We start from the raw sequence: 27,982 nt of genomic DNA, 5'->3' as shown, positions 1-27,982 counted from the left end.
TTGGCTCTGCTTCCATTTTCATAAATGAGCTTTAAAAAATTCACAAGAATGCTCAGAGAATATATATACATATATGTACATATGTATATGTACACAAGGATGTTTGTTGCAGCATTGTTTACAAGAGAGAAAAATTAGAAATCTAAGTGTACTAAATGTTGAGTGGTTAAATAATGGTATTCATACTACAAAATACTCTCAGCCCTTAAAAACAGTGAAATAGTCCGGGGCACAGCGGCTCAGCCTGTAATCCCAGGGAGACCAAGGCGGGTGGATCACTTGAGGTCAGGAGTTCAAGACCAGCCTGGCCAATATGGTGAAATCCTGTCTCTACTAAAAATACAAAAATTAGCCAGACATGGTGGCACATTCCTGTGATCCCAACTACTTGGAAGGCTGAGACAAGGAGAATCTCTTGAACCCAAGAGCGGAGGCTGCAGTGAGCCAAGATAGTGCCACTGCACTCCAGCCAACAGAGCGAGACTCTGTCTCAAAAAATAAAATGAAATAAGTAAAAATAGTGAAATATATCTGTATGAACTGATATACCAGATATCTGAGAAAGATTAAGTGAAAAAAAGTAAGTAAAAAAAAACAAATATAATTATTGGACTTATGTGAATATATCATTTTTATAAAATATAGTAACAATGATATAAGGACACAATAATATTACAAGGATACAAACCAAATGAATAACTTCTAAGAAGAGAAGTAGAAATTGGCAGCCAAGGGTAGAAATCAGAGACAATCAGGAAAGAAACTGTGGGATTTTCAGGCTTTACTGAATATACTTTTAAATAATCCAAATTTTTAATATTAAAAATGTATTCAGTGTCACCCTGCTAGCTCAACTGGTAGAATAGAGACTCAAGAATGTGTTCATACAGCAGCATTATTCATAAGAGCCAAAAGATAGAAGCAACCCAAATGTCCATCAATTGTTGAATGTATAAACAAAATGTATATCCATAAGCTAGAATATTATTTAACCATAAAAAGGAATGATATACTGATACATGTTAAATGATGTACTGATACATGAACCTTCAGAACATTATGCCACATGGAAGAAGCCAGTCACCAAAAAAACACACATTTTATATGATTCCATTCATTTGAAATGCCCAAAGTGACTAAATCTATAAATACAGAAAACAGAGCAGTAGTTGTTTAAGGCTAGGTGAGGGGAAAGGGAATGGAGTTCTGGGGTGTGATAATCTAAGGGATGGCTGGGTTCTTTCTAAGAAAACGTTCTAAATTTGATTATGGTGATGGTTGCATAGCTCTATGAATACATTAAACCCATTTAATTGCAAACTTTAAATGAATTAGTTATATGATACGTGAATGTCAATAAAACTGCTACAAAAATAGCAATAATCCAACAAGTTTTAAAACTTAATCCAAAAGAGAAAGTAAAGATAAGAGATACAACTGCTAAGAATGCAAAGAAAGCCAGAACAGTGAAATTCAGAGTCTTACGGTACCGGTACCATGCAAGAGTGGGACACAGAAAGAAAATATTAGAACTTCAATTTCTATTTGATTTTTACATAAAAATAATAAAAATAAAATTAAGTTTTACTAAAATGTATGATATGGTTGACCAGTGCCTTTACTCAAAGGATCATGTGCCTTGTGAGGTTGAAGAGGCATCCTGGAAAAAGAATAAGAGTTCCACAAGAAAGCAGGCTGACCATTCATTCATTTTTTTTCCTTCTCAGCATATTGCAATACTTGACCGGTTAGGTGAATTTATAGATTATACTATTTAGATTTAATAAAATACATCCCTCCTAGAATGAGTAAGTGGCTGCAAAACATTCCTGCAAATAAAACATTGCTTGAAGCTAATAATTGCATTTTGTGCACAAATGAAAAACAAGAAAACGGCAGAGCTTATCTACTATGATCTCTTCTGTGGATAACACAGAATAAATATTAACAATAAATATTTGTTACATGAATAATATAAAAATCATGAAAAGCAAGAAGAACACTAAGGAAATTCAGTAAACAATTCTTCACTTTTAGTACATGTACCTATACTTGTTACCACCATCCTCCCCCAAACAGGGTAAATATAGATAGAAATGTTGATCTTTATTATTACAATCACATAAAATGGAAACACATTAGGAATTTACACATGGGTATGTTTTATGTAGAAGATTAAACTATAGACGTGGCACGGTGGCTCACGCCTGTAATCCCAGCAATTTGGGAGGCTGAGACGGGCGGATCACTTGAGGTCACAAGTTGGAGACCAGCCTGGCCAACATGGCGAAACTCCGTCTCTACCAAAAACACAAAAAAATAACGGGGCGTGGTGGCGGGCACTTGTAATCCCAGCTACTCTGGAGGCTAAGGCAGGAGAATGGATTGAACCTGGGAGGTGGAGGTTGCAGTGAGCGGAGACTGCGCCACTATACTCCAGCCTGGGCAACAGAACAAGACTCTGTCTCAAAAAAAAAAAATAAGACTAAACTACAAGAGATCAAGTTATTTTCATGTAACAAATTTCTCATTAATCTTATTGGAAGCATGCCTTTAACAGTGTGTCTTAATTAATTCAAATATATAAGGGCAACAGTGCTATACAAGAACCTCTAGAGTATATTAAAACATTCAAAGACATTGAGAAGTAGTCCAAAGCTGTGCTGGACTCTATAATAAGAAATCATGCTTCTTTCTGGTAACTAAAGACACACTGTTTGCTGGTTTAAGGATGAAAGAACATTTTCAAGTTGTAGTAAAGTATAATATCATCAACTGACACACGGTGGTAATAAACCACCAAGTAGGAAGAGCTTAAGGACTTGATGCCAGAGAAAAAAACTAACAGAAAAAAACTGAAAACAGCAAAGGCAGAGGGCCGGGCGCGATGGCTCACGTCTGTAATCCCAGCACTTTGGGAGGCCAGGGTGAGCGGATCACTTGAGCTCAGGAGCTCGAGACCAGCCTGACCAACATAGAGAAACCCCATCTCTGATGAAAATACAAAATTAGCCGGGTGTGGTGACGCCTGCCTGTAATCCCACCTACTCAGGAGGCTGAGACAGGAGAATCGCTTGAACCTGGGAGGCGGAGGTTGCGGTGAGCCAAGATGGCGCCACTGCACTCCAGCCTGGGCAACAAGAGCAAAACTCCGTCTCAAAAAAAAAAAAAAAAAGAAAAAGAAAAAGAAAAAAGAAAGGAAGGAAGAAAGAAAAGAAAAGAAAAACAGCAAAAGCAGAGAGTCAGGAAAGCCCTTCGCTAATGTAGCAGGTGACAGACTTCATTTTATGAGACCTCAGCCCCATTAGTCAGAACGAAGTATTTCTACAAAGTACCTGTAACTGAAAAGATCCTCCCCGAGACATCACTAAACTATTAGTTACTGTGTAGCTAGGGACTGCCAGCAAATTAATTCCCTAAGTGACAGTTCAGAGATTCTCGTGTTTTTGTTTTGTTTTGTTTTAAAGAGGATGCAGACACCAAGAAGGTTTTTGTGTTTGTTTTCAATTAATATTTAGAAAGAAGACTTTTAAAAAGCAGTATCAACTGGCATGCGAGACAAAGAGAGGAGTTCAGTGTGGATATGGGCATTTCTGCTGAAGCCCAGTAGAAAGAGTACACTAATTACAACAAGAAAAGGAAAAGAAGAATCTGCATGGATGAAGAAAAAAACATACAACCCTTCGTAGTAGTCAAGGTAGAATGTGTTTGCGGCGTGATCTTTTTTGCAAGCCCAGCCACGTGTCCTTATAGAATCCCAAGGGTTCCACTTGCTCCCCGGGACCAAAAGCAGCGCCCCAAGGGAGGAGCCAAGTGCTGTGGACCCGATCTACACGTAGCCAACCCAGCAGATCCCAAAGCCCGGCGTCTCCTCTCCCCCACCTAGGATGTTCTGCCACCTGGACCCGACGCGTAGCAGGGCTCTCTGTAGCCATATTTCGCTAGATCCTTCTTTCTCCTGTAGTTTCAAGTGTCTAAGCAAAGCTCCCAGAGCAATCACGAGACTTCTGTGACAGGAGCCGTTTTCTTCCGGGAGATAAACAGCTCCCGCCCTGCGGAAATCCTGCAGCTTCGCTGAGGTGGCTGCTTCCAATCGGCCCCTCCTCTGGCTCCTCCTCCCTGGACTCAGCCAGGGTTCCCTCCAAGCAGCAGTCAGGTACAGCCTCCGTCCTGCTCTTAGCTCCCAGGGAGGGACTAGGGCCTCGCAGGAGCCCCTGCGCAGAGCACGTGCGAAGCTGACTAGTGAGGTTTTCTTTTTGCGCCCTGTGGATGTCAGAGAACAGTGTCATAACCTGGCGCCCTACATACACCTAGTTTCTGATCTGTCTCGGGCTGCGTTTTTTTGTTTGTTTGTTTGTTTTTTAGTTATGGTTTTGGTCTTTATTGTTCAGCAGCTACTCCCCAAACAACACTAAAATGTTTAGCTATTGCTTCTTTGCGGATTACTTCCAAATCAAGCAACATAAAATTGATGTATCACTTGATTTAAATAGATTTGCATTTATTTACAGGTTAGAGGCATTGGTGGGCCTTCCTAGAACACAGTAGTGAAAAGACGGAAACACATGCCTTTTAATGTGCAAGACCCCTTAGCATCCAGTTAAACCTCTTCATTTTTCACTTATCTAGAGAAATCCTAGATGCCCTATCAAAAGTACACTATCCCTAGTACATCACTAACTTTTCCTTCCTTCATAGTTCTCCTATTTGCTTATGTATTTATTGTGTCTCTCACCACCTCCATCATCACTACCACTAGAAAGCAACTGGGGGCAGGCAGATTGGTTTTTAATGAATAGGTAAGATAAACTGAATGAACGACGAAAGGTGAAATGATGTGCCTGAGGTCACAGTGATCATTGGGAACAAAACTGGAATTAAAATTCAGATCTATTAACTCTCAATCTAGTGCACTTTGCACCTCAGAAATATTGAGATTAAACCCAAGCAAAGACAGCTAGCAATAAACCCATTCCAAAGTTTCCTGATTAAGGAAGTTTGAGCCAACATGCCCAACACACTAGGGGTAGTAGCATAACTCAGAGAGATTCGATAAGTTGTATACATCAGTAAGTTACTGCTCCAGAATTTCTATATGTATATGCATACTTTGTCTCCATGTTTCCTTCCCCCTTCTGTATACATGTATACAGGAGGAAGGGGGAAGGAAACATGGAGACAAAGTGTGAATGGACAATAAAGCATAGCCAAAGAGTGGCAGCCCCTTGGCACCCCGTTGGGTTATTACTGTAAATGATACATCAAAGAAACAAAGTTACTCTGGTCTCAGGGCAGCTTTCTCACTATTATTTCAGTCCCTCTTTATCATTTTCAAATGAATGAATTATATCTTCTTGTTTCTGGGCCCCAATAAATCCCAGTTTGATGTTCATTTTGGTTTAATTTTGAGTAACAGGAGTCATCACTGTCACTTGTAAATAGTTTTAATAGGGAGATAACCTAAATTTTAAAAAAAAATGTAAAATGTTTAGGGACATCAGTAAATACAGAAAAGAACAGAATCTTTTTTTTTTTTTTTAGATGGAGTTTCGCTCTTTGTTGCCCAGGCTGGAGTGCAATGGCATGATCTCTGTTCACTACAACCTCCACCTCCCAGGTTCAAACGATTCTCCCGTCTCAGCCTCCCAAGTAGCTGGGAATACAGGCAGCCGCCACCACACCAGCTAATTTTTGTATTTTTAGTAAAGACGGGGTTTCACCATGCTGGGCAGGCTGGTCTCGAGCTCCTGACCTCAGGTGATCAGCCCACCTCGGCCTTCCAAAATTCTGGGATTAAAGGTGTGAGCCACCGTGCCCAGCCCAGAATCATTTTTTATTCAGATGTTTCTAATATATTCTTTTGCATTAGTTGAAAAATAACAAATTTTAAAGTTTTGAATTTTTTTAACAGTCCAAAATAAACTCATTTTATACAGGGTTAAAAAAAAATGACTGTAGAAACTGTTTCGAAAAAGAATACTTCCTACTGAATATGTACTTGATGACCGAACATTAACTTTGCTAAATGAAACCAGATGGCAAATCATTAGTTTGGACCTTGGATACATTGCTATTGCAGTCTCAACAAAACCGATGCAGACTAGAAAGCACCTTACAGAGCAATTAGTAAAGCATCCTTTTTTGAAATGATTGGCACAAAGTAAAACAGGATTAACAGAGCTAGAACTAAAACCTAGGTCTCTAGACTCCTAGCCTAGAGGCCATACTACTTCTGAATATGTGACTTTTGTTGAGACCCCAGTAAACTGTGCTTAAAAATAAATTATTGAAATGATTAGAATCCTTGTCCCAAAATAAAATGTGTACATTATAATTTTCATAAAGGATTACTCTTAAAATAACCTGTCCAAACTACTAGAGAACCCCAAATGGACACCAAAAACAAAACATTACTTTCTTATACTACCTTCCTTATACTAGGCATCTTGCTAAGTAAGCACTTTGCGTATATTATTGTCTCTTTAAACCTTTCCAACAATCCTTATGGGATAGAAAAATATTATTTCCTTTTCAATTTCAAGAAGATATTCCTTTAGTTCTTATTAGACATATCTAATAGTGAAAACATTTAAACATTTGGCTGGGCACAGTGGCTCATGCCTATAATCCCAGCACTTTGGGAGGCCAAGGTGGGCAGATCACCTGAGGTCAGGAGTTCGAGAACGGCCTGGCCAACATGGTGAAACCCCATCTCTACTAAAACTACAAAAATATAGCCAGGTGTGGTGGCGGGCGCCTGTAATCCCAGCAGCTTGGGAGGCTGAGGCGGGAGAATCGCTTGAACCCAGGAGATGGAGATTGAGTAAGCCAAAATCACGCCACTGCACTCCAGCCTGGGCAACCAAGAGCGAAACTCCATCTCAAAAAAAAAGAAAAGAAAATATTTAAACATTTATATTTTACAGTATTTTTATTTTCACAAATCCTGAACCTCTGGTTCTTTGCTTTTTGCAAGTAGGCACTCTTACAATAGGTTTAGAATCTGAATTATAAACTAATAAATGGTATATTATGATGGAGTCTTAAACAGAAACCTAATTAATAAACTTGAAATTGTTTCTCCTCAAAGGATATTAGTCTCCATTCAGATAAAATATTATAGCAAACTAAACAAAAACAAAACAAACACTAAAATGAAAGAATACAAAAACTTGATCCAAAATATGAGTTAAAGCATGGGTGTTAGAGACTTACAGACCTGGCTAGTGCCTATTGATGTTTCTCAGCTTAGAAATCACTTCCTTCAGGAAGTTTTCCATGTTCTCTACCCAAAACTAAATGTCTAAGACCACAGAGGGATTGACCATTTATCTGAAATAATGTTATTTCTGTGGTTTAATCTGTTTGTGCAACCTCTGGAAAATATTTCCTATTTTGACTTACAATAAAAACTATTGTTCACAATTGGGAGAATCTACTTCAGTGACCTATTTTGGATATTTTCTCATTATAGTAAATAATATGTAATACTTGTTTATGTCTTCTTTATAATGATGTTACATTCCTTCTTTTTTGTTGTTGTTGTTGAGACCAAGTCTCGCTCTTGTTGCCCAGGCTGGAGTGCAATGGCGCGATCTCGGCTCACTGCAACCTCCGCCTTCCGGGTTCAAGTGATTCTCCTGCCTCAGCCTCCCGAGTAGCTGGGATTACAGGTGCCTGCCACTTAATTTTTGTATTTTTAGTAGAGATGGGGTTTCAACATGTTGGCCAGGCTGGTCTCAAACTCCTGAACTGAGGCCATCCACCTGCCTCGGCCTCCCAAAGTGCTGAGATTACAGGCGTGAGCTACTGCACCCGGCCCCTTATTCTTCTGTTCATAAAATAGATACTGCTCTCTAGTGTATATAATCATTAAATGGCAAAAGATAAACTCATGAATCAGAGAAATCTATATTTATGTAGTTATGGAGGAAATAAAAATTGTGCAAAAATGCTTTAACCGAACATAGATTGTTTTGCAGAGTGAAAAACAAAGCAAAACAAAACGAAGACTCTAAGCACCCTCTGCTTGCCCAGTCATACAAAGCATCACATCAGTACTCTAATTACTTGTTTTCTGTCTAGTCTAAGTTTTTCTACTCAAAGTGTGGTCCTCAGAACAGCAGCATCAGCGTCACTTGAAAGTTTTTAGAAATACATTATCTTGGGCCGGGCGCAGTGTAATTCCAGCACTTTGGGAGGCCGAGGCGGGCAGATCACAAGGTCGGGAGATCGAGACCATCCTGGCTAACACAGTGAAACCCCATCTCTACTAAAAATACAAAAAATTAGCTGGGCGTGGTGGTGGGCGCCTGTAGTCCCAGCTACTCGGGAGGCTAAGGCAGGAGAATGGCGTGAACCTGGGAGGCGGAGCTTGCAGTGAGCGGAGATGGCACCACTGCACTCCAGCCTGGGTGACAGAGCAAGACTCCGTCTCAATAAAAAAAAAAAAAAAAAGAAATACATTATCTTGGGCCCAGACCTACTGAATCAGAATCTACAATGCAAGTCAAACATGCCATTTTAAATTTTCTAGAAGCCACTTTCAAAACAATAAAAAGAAATGTTAAATTTAATAATATATTTTATCTAATACACCAAAATATCATTTTAAATATAATATTTTAAATTATTGACATTTTACTTTTTTAAATAAGTCTCCAAAATCCAGCATATCTCAATTACAGCATATCTCAATTATGATGAGAAACAAGTGGCTGCTATATTAGACAGCACAGAGCTAGATTATAAGCTCCCTGAAGGCAAAGACTGTTTTACTCTGATTTTATAGACTCTGGCTCAGTGTTGAGCAGGCACTCAAGGAATGTTTAATGAAGGAATAAATTAATGAAATCAGATTAGCGTGGTTCCACTACTTTGTGACCCTAGGCAAGTCTGAAATTCCTCTTCTAAAAAAGGGAGATAAAAATACCTACTTCATAGGGTTATTATGAAGATTTTAAAAACCATCCCAACATTCTCTCCAGTTATTCTCTATCACCTAAATCTGGTTTGCTGTCTTTAAGGCCATCTGAAATTACATTATTTATTGATTTTTATACTTATTACCTGTCACCTCCACTAAAATTCATATTCCATGTTTCATCCATTATTCTATCATTCATTCATTCATTTAACAAATGTTTCTCTGTGCTACTATGTTCTAAGCACTATTCTAGGCACTGGGGATACAACAATAAACATAAACAAAAAGCTCCTGCTATTATGGCAAATTAAAATTAGTTAAGTAAATAAATGAATATATTACAAAAATTGATGCAAACTCTGCATCTAGTATACATTCCATCATCAAAATGAAATCTGAGAAACAAATATTTAGACTCTGAAATTAGAAATTTGCATTTCAAGCTTACAGTGTACATTAGCCTGACCAAACTACAGATAAATTGCCCCAATTTAAAACTATATTTTGTTTTTTCCTTTTTATTTCTTTTTTTTTTTTTTTTTTTTTTTTTTGAGACGGAGTTTTGCTTTTGTCATCCAGGCTGAGTGCAATGGCATGATCTCGGCTCACTGCAACCTCCGCCTGCTGGGTTCAAGCGATTCTCCTGCCTCAGCCTCCGGAGCATCTGGGATTACAGGCATGCGCCACCACGCTCGGCTAATTTTTGTATGATTAGTAGAGATGGGGTTTTACCATGTTGGCCAGGCTGATCTTGAACTCCTGACCTCAGGTGATCCACCTGCCTTGGCCTCCCAAAGTGCTGCGATTACAGGTATGAGCCACCATGCCCAGCCTTCCTTTTTATTTCTTCACCTAGAAACTAAATATAGTACCAAGAATCTTCAAACTAGACAATTCTTTCCTCACCTTGTCATAACCATCCAATGTTGCCCACCTCAATGAGGAGCTGATTGTGGTTATTATCTTAAGCAATTTTTTTTTTTTTTGGAATACATTTGCTAATGCTCTCCAGTGACTGACATAACTGCATCTACTGGTTGTCAATTGGCTTCGGCTCAAAATAATACTTAGGCCAAAGTAGCATATTTTGGGGTGGCATATTCTGAACCCCTTCAATGCTTAATCATACTGTATTAGCATATTCCTCCTATGTCAACTATAGAGATGAAAGATATAATTGCAGTCTGGAGCATTCTGAAGGCTTAGTATAAGTAGTTGTTGATTCCCTTAACCCTGCCTCCATCTCTATAAATAGTCCCTTAATTAAATTTTCAGTTAACTTCCCTGAGTATGCCACGAGTTTTCTTTCCAGAACTTTACTAATACAAAAGGAGTCCTCTTTTTCTGCTCTTCTAACACACAGTGTTCAGTCTCCCCAAATTAATATAGTAAAAAAAAATTTTAAAGATGATTGGTCTGAAAGGATGCCAAATCATAAACCTGTTTGGTATGACTCAGCCAAGGCCTGTGAAGAGTCATGAATGCTAAAGTTTACTTAAACACATCACATTTTCATTGAGAATCTTCTATAAGCAAGGCATATGCTGCATTTCAGAGAATTCAGAAGTAAGAAAGACAGTTGTGTCCTCAAGGAGCTTTCTGTTTAATAATGAATAAATGGAAATAATTGTAATACAAGGTAGCATACAATTATGAAAAATATATTTTAAAAGGATCAAATTATGCTGACAATTAAACTGTCATTGGATTTTTGACAAAGGTGCCAAGACAACTCAATTGAAAAAGCGTATCTTTTCAACAAATGATGCTGGAACAATTTGACATCCATATGCAAACTAATGAACCTCCACATTCATTCACACTATACACGAAAATTAAATTTGAAATGGATCGCAGACCTAAATGGAAGAGGTAAAACTATATAAAACTTCCAGAAAAAAACATAAGTGAAAATCTCAGCGCCCTTAGGTATGACAAAGATGAATACAACACAAAAAGCATAAAGAACTCTTACAACTCAACAGTAATAAGATAAACAACCCAGTTTAAAAAATAGGCAAAATATATTTAAAAACATTTCACCAAAGAAGATACATAGATGACAAATAAGCACACAAAAAATGTTCAACATTAGTTATTAAGTAAATGCAAATTAAAACTACAATAGTATACTGCTACATTCCTGCTAGAGTAGCTAAAGTTAAAAAGATTGACCACACTAAATGTTGGCAAGGATGTGGAGCAACTAGAACTCTTATGCACTGCTGTTGGATATGCAAAATGGTAAAACCACTTAGGAAAACAATTTGAGAGTTTCTTAAAAAGTTAAATATATACCTACCATATGACCCAACCATTTCACTACAAGATATTTACTAACTGCATTCACATCTATTCTGCGTAACAATATTACTACAAATGTAGTAGTATAAATAAATACACATTTATTATCTCACAATTTTCCATCCTGTTTTAAGGTCTCACAAAGGCTTATTTGAGGCTCAACTGGGGAAGGATTCACTTCCAAGAGCACATGGCTGTTAGCAGCATTCAGTTCCTTGTGGGCTGTCAGACTAAGACCATATTTTTTATTTTTTGGCTGGCTGCTAACCAGATGCCACCATCAGCTCCCTGTTGTGTTGTCCTTCCCAACATGGGCACTTGCCTTCCTCAAAGCCAGCACAGGAGATCATCTTTCCTATCAGGATTGACTTAACAATCTTGTATAATGTAATCATGTATATATAATCACGTATATCACCTTTGCTGTATTTTAGTTAGAAGCAAGTCACAGATCCCACTCACGCTCAAAAAGCAAAGAATTATTCAAGGAAATAGATAATGGGTAGCCACCAGAGTCTGTCTACCATAAATTACCCAAGAGAAACAAAACATATGTCCACACAAAAACTTGTGCACAAATGTTCTTAGCAGCTTCATTTATATTAGCCACAAACTGAAAAAAACTTAAAATATCTATCAACAGATAAATGGGTAAGATGAATTGTAATATATCCATGTAATGAATATTCAGCAATAAAAAGAAACAACCAACTGATACATGCAACAACCTGGACAAATCTCAACATAATTATACTAAGTGAAAGAAACCAGGAAAATGAGAGTACATATTGCATGATTCCATTTATATAAAATTCCTGAAAATGTAAACTAATCTATAGTGACAAAAAGTAGATCAGCAGTTACCTGGGAAAAGTTAAGGGGGGAGGAGAGAAATTTCTGCAAGGAATCTGAGAGGAAATTTTGCAGTGATAATATGTTCATTATCTTGTGTCGTGATAGTTTCACAGGTGTATACATATGTCAAAGTTCATTAAATTTTATACTTTAAGGCTGGGAGTGGTGGCTCATGCCTGTAGTCCCAGCACTTTGGGAGGCCAAGGCGAGTGGATCACCTGAGGTCAGGAGTTCGAGACCAGCCTGGCCAACATGGCGAAACCTCATCACTACTACAAATACAAAAATTAGCTGGGCGTGGTGGTGAGTACCTGTAATTCCAGCTTCTAGGGAGGCTGAGGCAGGAGAATCGCTTGAACCCAGGAGGCGGAGGTTGTAGTGAGCCGAGATCATGCCACTGCACTCTAGACTGGGCAACAAAGCAAGACTCCATCTCAAAAAATAAAATAAAATAAATAAATAAATTTTATACTTTAAGTATGTGCAGCTTAATTTACCTTATTGAGGTAAATGAAGCTACTGAATAATACCTCAATAATGCCATTTTATGAAAATATGTTTTAAAAACATAGGATCCACTTTCAACAAGGGCAGCATGTCACACAAATACACTCTGTTAAAATTACAATTTTCTATTATTTACCATTGAATAAAATTAATGTCAAGAAAAAATAAAAGAGAGTATCTTAACGGTATAAAGTATTCAGGATAGGCTATGTGAATAAGGTCACATTTACATGGATTTTTAAGGACAGAAAAATATTTTGATGTGTGATACAGAAAGATTAATCTATTAACATTTTTATTTATCCAACTAGCACTTATTAGCACCTGTGTACTCAAGCAGCATGCTCAGCACAGTGAAGACCTTTTCAACTGCTGTTAGTAAATTTCCAGACTAGACTTAATAAATTTGGTCATGGCCAAGGAAATTATACTCAAAATTTAGCTGCCGTTCACCCAGTCTTCCTACTTACCAGCTTATTTGCATACTTATTTTCCCATTGTAGGAATAAGGCATTACATTTAAAAGCAGCAAATTATGCAATATATTTAAATGTAAATCAACATGCAGTTTCATATATGTGATCAGTATGCATTTGTTAAGCATATTATCCATTTTGCAACTGCTATCTTGAGTACAAAGTAAAACTATGAAACTTTGATTACTCTGAGCAAATAAACCTCTTAACTACCTCGGGATCCTATTTTCTCTTTTGAACAATTAAAAGTAGAGTAACCATGTGATTTACTGTCTAACTTCTGAAAGTGATGGGTGCTATTAATTTTTTTTTTTTTTGAGATGGAGTCTCGCTCTATCACCAGGCTAGAGTGCAGTGGCACGATCTCAGCTCACTGCAACCTCCGCCTCCACCTCCCCGGTTCAAGCGATTCTCCTGCCTCAGCATCAGGTAGCTGGGACTACAGGCGCACACCACCACGCCCAGCTAATTTTTGTATTTTGTATTTTTAGTAGAGACGGGGTTTCACCATGTTCGCCAGGATGGTCTCGATCTCTTGACCTCGTGATCCACCCACCTCGGCCTCCCAAAGTGCTAGGATTCCAGGTGTGAGCCACCGCACCCGGCCTGGGTACTATTACTATTATGATGGGTCAACAGTAGTAAACGAGATCAGTCCCAGGAAAACTGGGATGTATAGTCATCCCAGGTACAGGGAGGTTTGTTTTGTTGTAAAGTTACAAGTATAGGTTTCTGAATGCCACTCAGAACTACTGAATCAGAATCTCTACTGTGGGATTTGGGAAGCCTTATACTGTAAAGTGATATCATTAAAGGCTCTTCCAATTCTAAGTTATACATTTAATATGGTAATTTTGAATATAGACTGGATATTGAATGATAGGGAATTATTATTAATCTTTTTTTTTCTTTTTTGAGACAAACTCTCACTCTGTCGCCCAGGCTGGAGTACAGTGGCGCAATCTTGGCTCACTGCAACCCCGACCTCCCAGATGCAAGCAATTCTCCTGCCTAAGGTTTCCTGAGTATCTGAGATTACAGGCATGTGCCACCATGCCTGGATAATTTTTGTATTTTTAGTAGAGACAGGATTTCTCCATGTTGGCCAGGCTGGTCTCAAACTCCTAACCTCAGGTGATCCACCTACCTCAGCCTCCCAAAGTGCTGGGTTTACAAGCACGAGCCACCGTGCCTGGCCAGTATTATTAATCTTATATGTAATAATGATGTGATTACATAGGAGAATGTTCTTATTTTTAGGAAACAGACACAGCTGCATTTAGGAGTGATGTGTCATGATATCCGAATCCTTTCAACTGATACAGGGAACACACACATACATACAATCAAAGCTGATAATGGGTATATACATGTCCACTATACTATTCTTTCAATTTTATGTATGCTTGAAATTTATCATAATAAAATATTGAGAAGAAGACTGTTAGGGAAAAACATTTGTATGTATAGGTGAGAACACATTATTGTCACAAATATAACTTAAAAGAACTATGACCAAAAAGGTGTCAATTCAAGTAATTACTAAAAAAGAATCAAGCCTGTAATTTCTCTTCTTGGAATTATTTATTTTATTTTATTTTTTTTTTTTTTTTTGAGACAGAGTCTTGTTCTGTCGCCCAGGCTGGAGTGCAATGGTGCGATCTCGGCTCACTGCAACCTCTGCCTCCCTGGTTCAAAAGATTCTCCTGCCTCAGCCTCCAGCTGGAATTACAGGCACCCGCCACCATGCCTGGATAATTTTTTTTTTGTATTTTTAGCAGAGACAGGGTTTTGCCATGCTGGCCAGGCTGGTCTCAAACTCCTGACCTCAGGTGGTCCGTCTGCCTCGGCTTCCCAAAGTGCTGGGATTACAGGCGTGAGCCAGCGCGCCAGCCGGAATTATTTTTTAAAGAATAAAATTTCAAAGATATTCACTGCAGAATTGCTTAAAATAGTGTTATTTCTGCAATACTCTGAATGTATAACAATAATGGCATGAATTATGGTGCACGGGTACATTCAACGAGGGATTATTACACAGCCACTAAAATAATTATTATTAGGAATATATTTTAAGACTGGGCAATGTGGTTCACACCTGTAATACCAGTGCTTTGGAAGGTTGAGGTGGGAGGATTGCAAGACCAGTCTGGGCAACATGGTGAGACCCCTGTCTCTACAAAAAAAATATTTTAAATTAGTCAGGAATGGTGGCATGTACCTGAAGTCCTAGCCACTGAGGAGGCTGAGATGGGAAGGTCACTTAAACCAAGGAGTTCGAGGCTGCAGTAAGCTATGATGGTGCCACTGCACTCCAGCCTGGGTGACAGAGCAAGATCTTGTCTCTAAATATAAACAACCAAATATTGACCTATGCTGCTACATAGATGCAAAAATAATCCAAATCTATATGCTTAACTACATAACCATTTGTGGAGTCACGTGGACAGATCTGGAAGTTTACGTGGAAAATGCTACCTATTTGAAAAGCAGTTTTTCCCCTTTATTTCATTTTTTTCTTTATTTTGAATTCTGCCAATGATTTTGTGTAATAGTATTTTTTTAATGGTATGGGAAGAAATCTTTTATCATGTGATACCACATAACAGCTGCCTAACCACACAATGTAGATATGAATAAAGATGGCTCAGAAATAAGAGTGTACTAGTATTAGTGACTCAACTAGTTACCATTATGACAAATGGAATAAAGTTTTGACTGATTTACAGGAGTTTTAAAATGCATTTTATATTGAGTAGTTATTTCATGTTTTCTTAAAACAATTATTGTACTGAACTAAAAATAAACTAGGTAGTTTGTTCACCTAACCAATCTACATTCAAAGACATGCTTACAAATTTTCCACTTAGTTCATTTTTCTGTTCTCAGCATTACTACAAATGCCTCATTCCGTCATCTTGTTGAATTCTTTAGCATCTTCTGTATCATTTCCAGGGGCATCTCTGGGAAGTAGTGATGCCTATCTTCCCTCAGAAGCACACTGATAACCCCAATATACCCACAATTCACACTTATTCCCTTCTCTGAGGTGTGCTGCTTTTTGGCACATCAGAAAAAACACACTACTAGGATTTGAAAAACTAAGTTCTGGGCCTGGTTAGGTCATAAACTACAGAAACCTTAGGTCATATATTCTCCCCAGGCGTTTCTCCACTACAAAAAAAAAATTCATTATTCCCTTGGTCTTTTGTAGTCCTTTACTATTTCACTTATCTTCATGATAACCCTTAAATTTAAGTAAGGTAGCATTATGCTCATTTTATAGAAGAAATTCAATCTCAAAGAGGACATAGTCTCCCAAAGATCCCACAAGTAGTAATATATTAGGCAGAGCTAAACTCACACACTCTTACTCAAGATCCTAGTACTGGTACATGCCGTGCTAATAAGTTTGCTAAAATGGATAAAGCAGCAATTTCTCAGGTCCCTTCCAATGATCCTGTTCTCTGCTTCTACTTGCTATTTTTTCTCTCTTCTCTCAACTAGCATTAACATCCAAAACTATATATAATCACCAAATTTCATTTACCATGGTTTTTTAATTATTCTTTAAATTTTTCTAGTTCCATGTTAAATCCAGAGAAATGTTACTTTTTCGAAAGTTTCTACTACTGCCTCTCTCTCTGAAGGCCATGGGACTTAACTATTTGTCAAAGCAGAAATTCCCAACATTTCGTAAACACCACTAATTACTTTTTATAACTGTAAAGACAATTATTCCATACTTAAAACCAATTCAAAATAAAATAAATCCTCAATACTTCTTATTCCCTGGGGTAGTAATTTTAATTAGATTTTATTGATTCTTTATTTTCTCCTATGTGCCTTTATTTGGGAAATACTGTTAGTCTACCTTACTATCGAGTCTCTTTCCCTAGCAAGAAAATGTCAGTCTTAAGAGTCAGGAAAGCTTTTACTTTCACTATCACATATGAAGAATGAACTAAACACCTAAATTGGATAGGAAAACTTAAATGAGGGATTCAGGACACTTCCCAAGGGGTCATATGACCAATTTAAAAGTTGGTATGATGTGTCTAAAATAACAAATTAACTCTTTTACTTATAATAAAGGTACAGATGTGCTGATTAGTCATGCTAACATGTACATATGAAATATGCCTAAACCAAATTAAAAGAAAACAAAATACAGTCTATGGCAATCTTGAAAATTCAGGGAGCTCAATAAATATTAAGAGGATGCTCTCACAATGAGAGCATTAAACACTTGGTAATTAACATAATTTAATATGCAAAAATAAGAAAATATACAGGATGAGGGATGAGGAGTACACATAGGAAATTTTTGTGATTTTCTTCATTTTGATTGTATTGCTTTCTTGTCTTCAGGAGGGAAGATTTTGACTTCAAAAGTAACAAAATATTTAAGAAGGGAATTCACATCTTTCTGTTCTAAATGATATTCTTGCGCTATTTTCTCAGCAGTTCATGTTTCTGGATAAAGTTTATGATTATTGAAAAGTGTCAATGCTTCTACAGTGGAAATTTTGCCTTTGGGAATGCTCTTAATATTTATCATATCAAAGTGATGGCCTTTCGGCAATCTGAATTTCTTTGGCTCCTGACGTGTTTCAGCAGCTTTCAGCTGCACGGAAGACACAGGATCTTTGGAATCAACACACACATATTTTAGAAATGACAGCAGCTTGTCATCTTTACGAGCAATCTCTCCCTTAATTTCTGGATAGAGACTAATCTGCTCTGGCAGGAGGCTGCTGGTAGAGGGGTGCCTGGGAGCGAGAGAGGGCTTCATGTTGCGGATTTCCCTTTCCGCTCGGTTCTCTTGAAATTCCTGATCCCGCGAGTCACCGCAGCCCCCATCTCCTTACAACATGATGCCCTCAGGTTCACAGTAATGTATTTTTTAAAAACCAGTCGTTGTTACCTTAATTTGGTCCCAAGGGCTGTAAAGGTCAGTTTACAACTCGTTGAACAACTGAGTAAGATTTAAGGCAACTCAACTGATAGCTGCATACCTAATTTAGGATATCCATAGAATTGTTTTGTCAACTACAAATATAACAAGCATTAAGTGTAAACTGTGTTGCTGAAAAGTACTCCAAGTATCTTAGGAACACCCACCGCAATGTGTGGGCTAAATGCACACGTACAATGATAGCAGAAATAATACCTGTCATATAGGACGGGCATGTCAGCCTTTTCTCCGCGAAAGGCTTCTGGTCCTAAGCTGTCCCTTACTTTCACCGGAATGAGATGCGTCCAGAGTCCCAAGCAAGGGAGGAGACTGCTCCTTTACCCAGGAGGCTGGAAACTGCTCGATGCGAGCGCAGTTTCCGACGCCCTTCGGCTGAGACCTGCAGCACCGGACGATGTCCCAGTTGCCAGCTTTAGTTGCTAAGGCACCAACCACTTCGGAGGAAACGGGGGGTGGTGCAGTCTCTTTTGGAGTCGTAGCGAATCAGCTACAAGTCGAGATAATTAGTTCCGGCAGGAAACAGCTCCTCTAAGAGGGACTGGAAGGCGGAAAGAAGCTGAGAGTGACGCCTCTGAGCCGCGGAGGATTGTGGGAGGAGGTTGTCTCCAATTTCTCCTCCCCCTCCCGGCCAAGATGTCTGACATGGAGGATGATTTCATGTGCGATGATGAGGAGGACTACGACCTGGTGAGGCGCAGGGAATGGAACTCTGAGGGTGGTGATGTGTCTTGTTTTCGGGGTCCGGGCCGGGGCGCCCGCGGCCTCTCCCCGTAGAGCATGTGCCGTTTACAGCCTCTCTCAGTGCGGTGACAGGACTGGTTTACCTCCTCCCCGTTCCCGCACCGGGCCCGGGCCCTGCTTCTCCAGCATGGGGGAAGGGAGGGCAAAGGAGGCAGCGAAGGGGGCCCCGGGCCTTGCCCTCCGAGTCTGAGCGCCTCTTCGGTTTACACGGATGCCCCTGGTCCCAGGCGTTCGGTTCTCTGTCTTCTGCCTCCCCACCGCGCTAGCCGCCTCGGTGACCATGCTGCGGTGTAGGCCCTGGCTTTGCCCTTTCGGGCCCAGCGTTCCGGGCCCCCACTTCTTCACACTGGAACTGAGCGGGTGCGAAATGCTAGGAGAAGTCAGAAAACGGGGGTGTCCTTACTGCTCCCAGGCCTGACTGCGAAACGCAACTTGTGAGTCTCCTGGAGACATAGCTTAAATAGTCTTGCCAGGGCCAGTTTTGGTCCGAGGTAAGTGTGTAGGGGAGAGTTCAGAGCAAAGATAACTGAAAAAAAGGTAGTCGAACCACTTTTTCAGTTCTTTATAAAGAAAAGCTGGGGAGGAGGTTTTGCTTGTGGTGTTTTTGGAGGACGGGTGAAAGATAATTGAACCCATGGCTTTTCCCTTAGAAATTTCCCAGTATACAAAGTTTAAAACAGCAACAGCATAGAAATAAACGAATTTTTCTGACCGAATGGAGATTTTTAAAGATTCAAAGCTTCATTTATTAATGGATTTGCAAGTTTGAATAACGTTTGCTATTCAAAAACATCGTGTGGAAACTCAGAAAATTATCTTGATCCAGAATTAACGTCAATTTTGCTGTGTTTCTTTATTTTGGGGGTGTTTCATATGGTTCTTTTATGGTGATGCTGCATTATCATAAAGTTACGAAATAGATGTTTTGGGACGTCTGACTCATTTTAAGTGCCAGAGATTGTCAAAATATTAATACATTGTTTTGAATTAGTCTATAACTTTTTCGTATATATTTTCAGTTTTTTGCATTTTAAAATAAGGCACACTTTGCAAAAGGGAGAAAGGAAATTCTCGCTATTATTTGAAAGTCATAGTAGAGATTTTTATAATTTTTAAAGTTAAATGTAGTTTCGCTAATAGTTATGGTTTCTACCTTACATTTTAGTTTGTGCAAGCCAGTTGTAGGCAGTGACTTCAGTTCATTAAGAATATGTATCTGTCCATTTTTACTTATTACCTGTTTATTTATATTACAGGTGTTTTGTTATCAAAATGTTTCTTTTATATGTGCTTGTATTTTTTTAATTGATTCATAGTATTTTGTACATATTTATGGGGGGTTTCGTTACATGCACAGGATATGTAGTGATCAAGTCGGTATTTAGGATATCCATCACCTTGTGTTTTTATCATTTCTGTGTCTAGGGAATATTTAAAGTCATCTCTTCTAGATATTTTGAAATATAAAATACGTTTTAACCATAGTCACCCTGCTCCGCTGTCAAACATTAGAACTTACTCCTTCTATCTAACTGTTGGTTTGTACATACCATTAACCAACTTCTCTTACTTCCCCACTCCTCTTCCCCCCACAACACCCTTCCTATCATTCTACTCTCTACCACCGTGAAATCAACTTCTTTTGCTCCCAGATCTGAGTGAGAACATGTGATATTTGTCTTTCTGTGCCTGGCTTATTTCACTTAACCTAATTCTCCAGATCCATGTTGCTGCAAACTGACAGAATTTCATTCTTTTTTATAGTCAAATAATATTCCATTATGTATATATACCACATTTTCTTCATCCGTTTATCCATTGATGGACACTTAGGTTGATTCCCTGTCTTTGCTGTTATGAATAATGCTGCAATGAACATGGAGTGCAGGTATTCCTTTAATAGACCGATTTTCTTTCCTTTGGATAAACCCAGGAGTGGATTGCAAGATCTTATGGTAGTTCTACTTCTAGTTTTTGAGAAATCTCCATAATGGCTATACTAATTTACATCTCCATCAAAAGTGTAGAAGAGTTCTGTTTTCTCCACTTTCTTGCCAGCATTCTATTATTTTTTGTCTTTTTGATTAATAACCATTCTAATTGTGGTTTTGATTTGCATTTCTTGGTAGTGATATTGACCTTTTTTTTTTTCATGTATGTGTTGGCCATTTGTATGTCTTCTTTATTTATTTACACATGTATATATTTTTAGAGATGGGATTTTGCTGTGTTACTCAGGCTGGGCCCAAACTCCTGGGCCCAACCAATCATCCCGCCTCAGCCTCTTAAGTAGCTGAGACTACTGGCACGTGCCACCATGCCCAGCTGTATGTCATCTCTTGAGAAATTGCATTTGTATTATTAGTTTGTGTTTGTAAGTGTTTCTGCTTACCTCTTTCCTAAGCAATAGTCTGTTGGATACATAACTTATTAGCACTGTGATCAAGCTGATGATCATCTTTGAGAATGTAATGTAGCAATAGCAGTGAGAATCTTTTTGTCCCATGAAGTACTTGATTAACTTTTGCAAGATTTTTTATTAAACATACAGTGTTTTAACTTGGTCATATTTTCCCAGCCTTTTAGGGCCTACGCTACATGAGCAGTAAAATGAAGTTGAATATATAATTGCTTTAACTTTTTTTTTTGAAACAGAGTCTCACTCTGTTGCCCAGGCTGGAGTGCAGTGGCACAATCTCAGCTCACTGCAACCTCCGCCTCCCAGGTTCGAGCGATTCTCCTGCCTCAGCCTCCTTAGTAGCTGAGATTACAGGCGCCTGCCACCACACCTGACTAATTTTTTGTGTTTTTATTAGAGGCGGGGTTTCACCATGTTGGTCAGACTGGTCTTGAACTCCTGACCTCAAGTGATCTGCCCTCCTCAGCCTTCCAAAGTGCTGGGATTACCGGTGTTAGTCACCACAACCAGCCTTGTTTTAACTTTTTTATTTCTTAAAGTAAGATTTTGCACTACCACATAATGAAATGAAATGTTGGAGTTTTCTGTTGGGTTTTTTGTTTTTCTTTCCCTAGCGTTCTATTAAATAGCTCTTCCTCCCCTCATCTGTCTCTCATCAGGTGTCTAATTGTAAAATTATTTATGATCAATTTACTAACAGTTAAAACTTTTGGTGGCATAAAACTTATTTAGTAATTTGTTTTTCATTTCCTTAAATCATATATTTAAAAAAAAAAGATTAATGAAGCAGGTTACCATTTCATGCTTACCTTTTGCCAAAAGAGTTTTTCTTTTTTTAAAATAGTTATTTTGTCTGGGATTTTCTTTTTTTTTTTTTATGTTTCTTAGTATTTAAAAAATGTGCGTAATTGACTTGTTTTCTCAAGATTTATTTTTATAAAAAATGTATTGTTTTTTGGAAAATTGATCATCACCTCGTTTTAGTTAAAGTGTTAACTAAGAGCAGTGAGTATTGCTGACCACAGTGATACTCAGCATATCTTTATTGGTCGTCCAATGATATATTTTAACACCCTAAATCACTTTGTTCTTCCCCAATCTGGTAGAAATAGGTAGTTAGGATACCACCTGAAAAATTAAGTCTGTTTCTAAAACTGTACTGTTTTTACCCAAGAAAGTAAATAATGATTTCTGCCCAAGAAGAATCTAAAATAAAACAAACTTGTTATTTAAAAAAAAAAAAAAAGAAACGAATATAAAAGAAATTCAACATACATGCATGATCATGTATGTTCTAAGATCTGTTTGATTTTCATTAGAGGCAGAAGCAGGCATTTCTAAACATAGTAATCTGTGGTAGGTGATGGTGCTAGTAAATGACATTTAATGCAATGCTAATTTTACAGGTTTATAGATTATTTGCTGATCCAGTAACACTAAATAATAATCATAGTGCCATTCATTAAGTTGGTAAGGCCATTGATAAGCTAACTGTTTTAATTCCGCAGTCCAATCGTTCTACCGTGAAACTTCTAATAATCTTTTTAGAAAGAATTTAAGACCAATTGACTTTATTCCAAAAATTAGTCTTTAGTAAGTCCTGTTATATGTAGGATATTATATATTTGAATATAATTTTTTTTTTTTTTTTTGAGACAGAGTTGTGCTCTTTCGCCTAGGCTGGAGTGCAGTGGCATGATCTCGGCTCACTGCAACCTCCACCTTCTGGGTTCAAGCAATTCTCCTGCCTCAACCTCCTGAATAGCTGGGACCACAGGCACCCACCACCATGCCCGGCTAATTTTTATATTTTAGTAGAGACAGGGTTTCACCATGTTGGCCAGGCTGGTCTCAAACTCCTGACCTTTGGTGATTGGCCTTCCTCGCCCTCCCAAAGTGCTGAGATTACAGACGTGAGCCACCACGCCTGGCCTATATTTGGATATAATTATTTAAATGTATTACAAGGAAAACATTGTCTAAAAGTTAGAATAATTCCACTTGGTTAAATATATGACCATATGACCAGCTGTGAGCCTCATTATATTCCCCTAGTCAAGCTCATAGTTGGGATTAGGGGATAAATGTTTACTAGTATTGTTCTTCTTGTCTTAATATATAGCAGTTTTATTTATTTTTTTTAACTTTTAGGTTCAAGGGTACATGTGCAGGTTAGTTATATAGATAAGTTCGTATTACAAGGGTTTATTATACAGATTATTTCATCACCCAGGTACTAAGCCAAGTATCCAATAGTTATTTTTTCTGCTGCTCTCCCTCCTCCCACCCTTCTCTCTCAAGCAGGCCCTAGTGTCTGTTCCCTTCTTTGTGTTAATGAGTTCTCATCATTTAGTTCCCACTTATAACAGAGAACATGCAGTATTTGGTTTTCTGTTCCTGCATTAGTTGGGTAGGAAAAATGGCCTCCAGCTCCACCCATGTTGCCATTATTTTTTATGGTATAGCAGTTTTAATGCTCTACATTTTTACTTATTTGTCTATTTTTTTGTGTGCAGTGGGGAGGTAAATGAGTCTTAGCTACAGGATCTCTTACAGACTCTCGTATTTGTCATCCTTTTAATAAAAAGATCAGTAGAAAGATGATGGTCGATTGCCAGTGCTATGTACATAGCGAACATGTATTCAATATAAATGTTAAGTTCAAAAAATATCAAAGACGGTATAATCCATATTATCCCAATTTTGTTAGGTGGGAAAAATATAGAAAAATGTCTGCAAATAAATTATCAATGGTTTTATTTATTTATTTATTTTTTTATTTTTATTTATTTTTTTTTTTTTTTGAGATAGAGTCTTACTCTGTTGCCCAGGCTGGAGTGCAGTGGCGTGATTCTCATGCCTCAGCCTCCCAAGTGGCTGGGATTACAGGCATGCGCCACCATGCCCGGCTAATTTTTTGTATTTTAGTAGAGACAGGGTTTCTCCATGTTGGTCAGGCTGGTCTCGAACTCCTGGTGATCCACCTGCCTCCGCCTCCCAAAGTGCTGGGATTACAGGCATGAGCCACCGTGCCCAGCAGACAGTTTTTTTGTTTTGTTTTGTTTTTTAATTCTAATTTACTCCATAGTTAACAAATCAGCACCCATTAACTTGTGTGAATTTTTTTAAATGGATAACTTTATCAGTAGCTAAACCATAAATGGCTACCTAGGATTTGAATCGTGTCTGGTTTTTAAGGATAATGAAACAACTGCCATGTACCTCTTAGTGTGCCAACATATGGTACAGCTGTTAGACAAGACTCAGAAAGCATTGTTAATGGTGAGTATTGTTTTCCTAAAGTACATTTCTTAGGACTTCTATTGGCGGTAAATACAAGAGTAAGTAAATGAGCTATGGAACTGATCCTGTTCAGCAGTAGCGACATTCCAGATATAGTCAAAATTGACCCTGGCTGCTCTGTGTTGTGTTATTTTGGAATGTTTATCCACCTTTTATTTTAACTCACCAAACACTCACTAAGCGTTTTGTAATATCCCAGGCTCTCAGAATACACAGATGAATAAGAAAGTTCCTGCTTCTGAGAAGTTCACAATTTGGACTGTTTTAACATACAAAGCTCTATGTTAGAGAGATGCATGTCATATGGAAGCATGACTGAGAAAAAAAATTTAGTTTGCTAAGAAGAGTGATGCTAAGATGAGTTGATGAACACATTTCCCAGCAGTATTAGGGCAGGGGAGTATCTTAGGAGAAAATCAGAAAGTTTGTTAGGAGGGAAAGTGGTTTAGAATTCTAGCAAAAAGAGCAGTTTATGCCAAAGCAGAGATTTAAAATTGTGTGGCATGTTTGAGAAAGAGTAGATTTTGGTTGTGTGGATGGATCACAAATTGCTTGGGGGAAATAACAGGACATGAGTAGGTTGGAACTATTATTGAACTTTAGGGGGTTTTTTTATTTTTAATCCCTTTTACAACTGTTCTTGTAAAACAAGTGCTTGATTATTTTTCATAATTTGCTTAACCTCTTCATTTGTTTTTAAAGCATTCTTTATATACTAATTAAAATTTCACTTTCTCTTCTGTTAAAGAACATTTACACTTTTACAAATTATCTCTTTTTCATTTGACGTAACTAATTCAGTTTAGCAATACTTACTCAATACTTCTAGATTTCCTATTCTGAGTAATGGCATCATGTGTTACCAAGCCTTTGATAGTCATTATGGATAACTTTATTTTCCTTTATCTTGTGCCCATATGGGCACTTTTATTTTACATCCTTAACATTGTTTAACATCTTCTGTGTTTATTCCATCATTTATTGTGTCCCCTAACTTTTCTCCTTATTCTGCTTCTTGGAGTCAGGCCTTCACAGCTCCTGGCCAGACTTTTAAGATTATCCAATGGGCTCTTCATTGCTTCCAGAAACACAAATCTGACTATTTCCTTGTAAAATCTTTTAGAGGCTCTTTATTGGATCTCATCTCCTTGTAAGACTTCTGTTGTCCTGTTCCTCTGTTCAATACCAGTTCATCTTTCATCAGCCCTTTACATAACATCCTGTGCTTCAGCCCAAACTATTCATACTGTTTCAAGCTTCCTTGCATTTGCATGTTAATTGCTTTATTTCAGCTGCCCTTCCTCATTGCTGGCGATTCCTATTCATACTTTTATACCTGACTTGGGTATCTTTTTCCTTCCTCTAACTCAGAAGTAGTTGATTACTCCTTTTTGAGATGCCAGTGGACTTAGTATGTGTGTCTGTTATTGCTTATATTATATTATATTATATTACGGTTTTGTTTGCATATCTGTTCCTTAATAGACCATGAATACCTTGAGGGGAAGGGTTGTTAATTTGGATTTCTGTGAGCAATAATTAATTGCTGGCATATATTAAAGATCATGATTTTTGAGTATAAATAGTAGAAGCACCTAAACAATAGAATTGTTCTTCCAAAGACTTCAAAACATGAGTTTGAAAAATTATGCCTGTGTAATAACTGAAGAATAATTTGCAGTAGTGCACAGCTTGTGATAATTGATTCAGTGGGGTGCAAATGATGGGTTAGTGATGTCATGATGGCTGGTTCAAGCCTACGAACATGGCGTTGCAGATCATAACAAGGAACTGTCTATTTGTAGTCAATCAGTAGAACATCAGTTGTGCCGATTCTCATGTATTTATATATTTTAGCAATAACATTTGTTTAAGAGTTGAATTGCAGTTATGCAAAAACATTATACATGCCATTTCTTAATCCGTATGATATGAAAAACCAAAAGAATGTAGTCACAAAACGAAGAGGGCTGAATCAAATCTTTTCTCAGTCATTGTGATTTTTTTTTTTTTTTTTTTTTTTGGAGTTGTAACATCTAAAGTTTAGAAATCTCTATCTGAAATCTATCAGGTCCCAGAAGTTACAGGTAACTACTCTTATTATAAGTATTCCGTGACTGAATGACAAGACACTGTGTGACATATGACAGGAAATGTCAAGGATCCTGTTTTTAACAATGTTATAATTGGTTCAGTAATTTCCAGATAATTGAAGTTAATCTCTTCCCTTTCTAAAATACTGTTTCTCATTTGCTGGGAAGCTCCAAAATACTAGTCCTACTGTTGTCATGTATACCTTTCAGCTTCTACTTTCCTCTTCTCGAAACCTGACCTAATTGTTTTTTCTAATTTGTTTTGAGCCAAGAAACCAAAAATAAATGGACTCTGAATTTTTACTTTGTGATCAATGTAAATCAGAAATACTTTTCATTTTACTTCCAGGTTCAAGGCTGCATTCTGAAGGTTTGGGTTGCAAAAAAAAGTAATTTTCTGGTTCAGCAAGCTATTCCTCTATCTTATTCAACACTGTTAAGTGAAGTTTTTATTTTAGTTATTGTATGATAAATCATATATGGTAAATCTGTTTATATTTGTTCCAACTTAATAAAACAATTAGAAAAGAGCTGATTTCCGAAGGCATAGAGTAGGTTTTATAGCTGTGATTCTTTACTCCAAGTCTTCCCTAAAGAATACCCTTAGGCTGAGATCTGAAATGATAAGCAGTAGTTAACTAGATGAAGAGAGGTAGAGGTAGAGGTGGAAAGAGAGAGAAATAGCACATAAAAGTGGGAGAATTTGGCACTTGTTGAGTTAAGGCCAGGATGGCTGCAGCAAAGTGAATGAGGGAGAACTAGATAGGAGATAAGGTTGGACACAGGAGTCAAGTTTTGCTGATTTTGCTCTCGATTTTAAGAGGAATAGGAACCATTTTTGAGGAGAGGAATAAGATAATTTACATTTTGTGAAAATTATTTCACCTGCTTAACCATGAGGATATTAGAACTTAAAAAGGAGAATGAGAAGGCTGCTAAAGTTTGTGGAGAGATGAAAGTAGTTGGGTAGGGTAGGGTGGTAGCAGGCAGGGGGTTCGGGAGTGGATAGATTTGAGATTTATTTTGAAGGTAGAGTCAATAAGGATTTTTATGTTCCAACAAATAGTTACCTTTCATTGTTTATGCTGTTACTACGTGTACTATTCTCTTTATCCTCTCCTGTTTTGTCTAGTGGGCAAACTTCCATTTATCTTTCAAAACCCAGGTTTGAAGCCATCACTGTCACAGCATCATTCTGTGTATGGTTGGCTTATTCATTCTTTACTAATTTCTCTTTTTTTTTAGCTTGATCAGTTTCTTTGTAGTCAAGCCTAGATTACAAGGGTTAAGAAGTAAATGAATAATTATGAAACTTATTTACTACCTAGTTTCATCTTGTCCCTAAAAGAAGTGTTCCAAGTGATTTTCATATGTTAAACA

The 27,982-nt window shown here is 37.8% G+C and overlaps 2 protein-coding genes, 1 non-coding gene and 1 pseudogene across 19 annotated transcripts in view, besides 5 other annotated features; 2 read left to right on the top strand and 2 right to left on the bottom strand.

Annotated features, from left to right (window-relative positions):
- GALK2 (galactokinase 2) overlaps positions 1 to 18,484 on the bottom strand; it is a 211,967-nt gene extending 193,483 nt beyond the window's left edge. For 8 of the 15 annotated variants that reach the window (XM_047432347.1, XM_024449892.2, XM_024449894.2 and 5 more), the window contains exon 1: positions 3,900 to 4,242. Coding sequence is in view for 4 of the 15 variants with exons in the window: in NM_002044.4 (NP_002035.1) it covers positions 3,883 to 3,935 (53 nt within the window). In the remaining 11 variants the exon portion in view is untranslated. Of the gene's footprint in view, positions 1 to 3,882; positions 4,243 to 18,241 lie in introns of those variants that run through there. The other 7 variants (NR_147895.2, NM_001289030.2, NM_002044.4 and 4 more) reach the window with 2 other exon arrangements.
- Positions 3,695 to 4,599: an enhancer, noted in NCBI's record as "OCT4-NANOG-H3K27ac-H3K4me1 hESC enhancer chr15:49461856-49462760 (GRCh37/hg19 assembly coordinates)". NCBI's record gives its function as "activates a minimal SCP1, AML or CMV promoter by ChIP-STARR-seq in primed H9 embryonic stem cells {active_cell/tissue: H9 hESC(primed)}" and the evidence as "EXISTENCE:reporter gene assay evidence [ECO:0000049][PMID:30033119]".
- Positions 3,824 to 4,063: an enhancer, noted in NCBI's record as "active region_9386". NCBI's record gives its function as "activates an Ori minimal core promoter by ATAC-STARR-seq in GM12878 lymphoblastoid cells {active_cell/tissue: GM12878}" and the evidence as "EXISTENCE:reporter gene assay evidence [ECO:0000049][PMID:35858748]".
- Positions 5,105 to 5,188, top strand: MIR4716 (microRNA 4716). Its single transcript, NR_039866.1, has one exon. It is a non-coding gene; the product is annotated as a microRNA 4716 (primary transcript).
- Positions 15,633 to 17,960, bottom strand: NDUFAF4P1 (NADH:ubiquinone oxidoreductase complex assembly factor 4 pseudogene 1; annotated as a pseudogene). Its single transcript, NR_036507.1, has one exon. The product of NR_036507.1 is annotated as an NADH:ubiquinone oxidoreductase complex assembly factor 4 pseudogene 1 (transcript).
- Positions 17,707 to 18,625: an enhancer, noted in NCBI's record as "NANOG-H3K27ac-H3K4me1 hESC enhancer chr15:49447830-49448748 (GRCh37/hg19 assembly coordinates)". NCBI's record gives its function as "activates a minimal SCP1, AML or CMV promoter by ChIP-STARR-seq in primed H9 embryonic stem cells {active_cell/tissue: H9 hESC(primed)}" and the evidence as "EXISTENCE:reporter gene assay evidence [ECO:0000049][PMID:30033119]".
- Positions 17,707 to 18,913: a biological region, named in NCBI's record as "NANOG-H3K27ac-H3K4me1 hESC enhancer GRCh37_chr15:49447830-49448748".
- Positions 18,384 to 18,913: an enhancer, noted in NCBI's record as "active region_9385". NCBI's record gives its function as "activates an Ori minimal core promoter by ATAC-STARR-seq in GM12878 lymphoblastoid cells {active_cell/tissue: GM12878}" and the evidence as "EXISTENCE:reporter gene assay evidence [ECO:0000049][PMID:35858748]".
- Positions 18,659 to 27,982, top strand: part of COPS2 (COP9 signalosome subunit 2) — a 32,873-nt gene continuing 23,549 nt past the window's right edge. For both annotated transcript variants that reach the window (NM_004236.4, NM_001143887.2), the window contains exon 1: positions 18,659 to 18,733. In NM_004236.4, the coding sequence (NP_004227.1) occupies positions 18,680 to 18,733 (54 nt within the window). In that variant the 5' untranslated portion in view covers positions 18,659 to 18,679. The remainder of the gene's footprint in view (positions 18,734 to 27,982) is intronic.

Source organism: Homo sapiens, chromosome 15 (genome assembly GCF_000001405.40).
Source record: "Homo sapiens chromosome 15, GRCh38.p14 Primary Assembly".
Taxonomy (NCBI): domain Eukaryota; kingdom Metazoa; phylum Chordata; class Mammalia; order Primates; family Hominidae; genus Homo; species Homo sapiens.
This window is presented reverse-complemented; position numbering and strand designations above follow the sequence as displayed.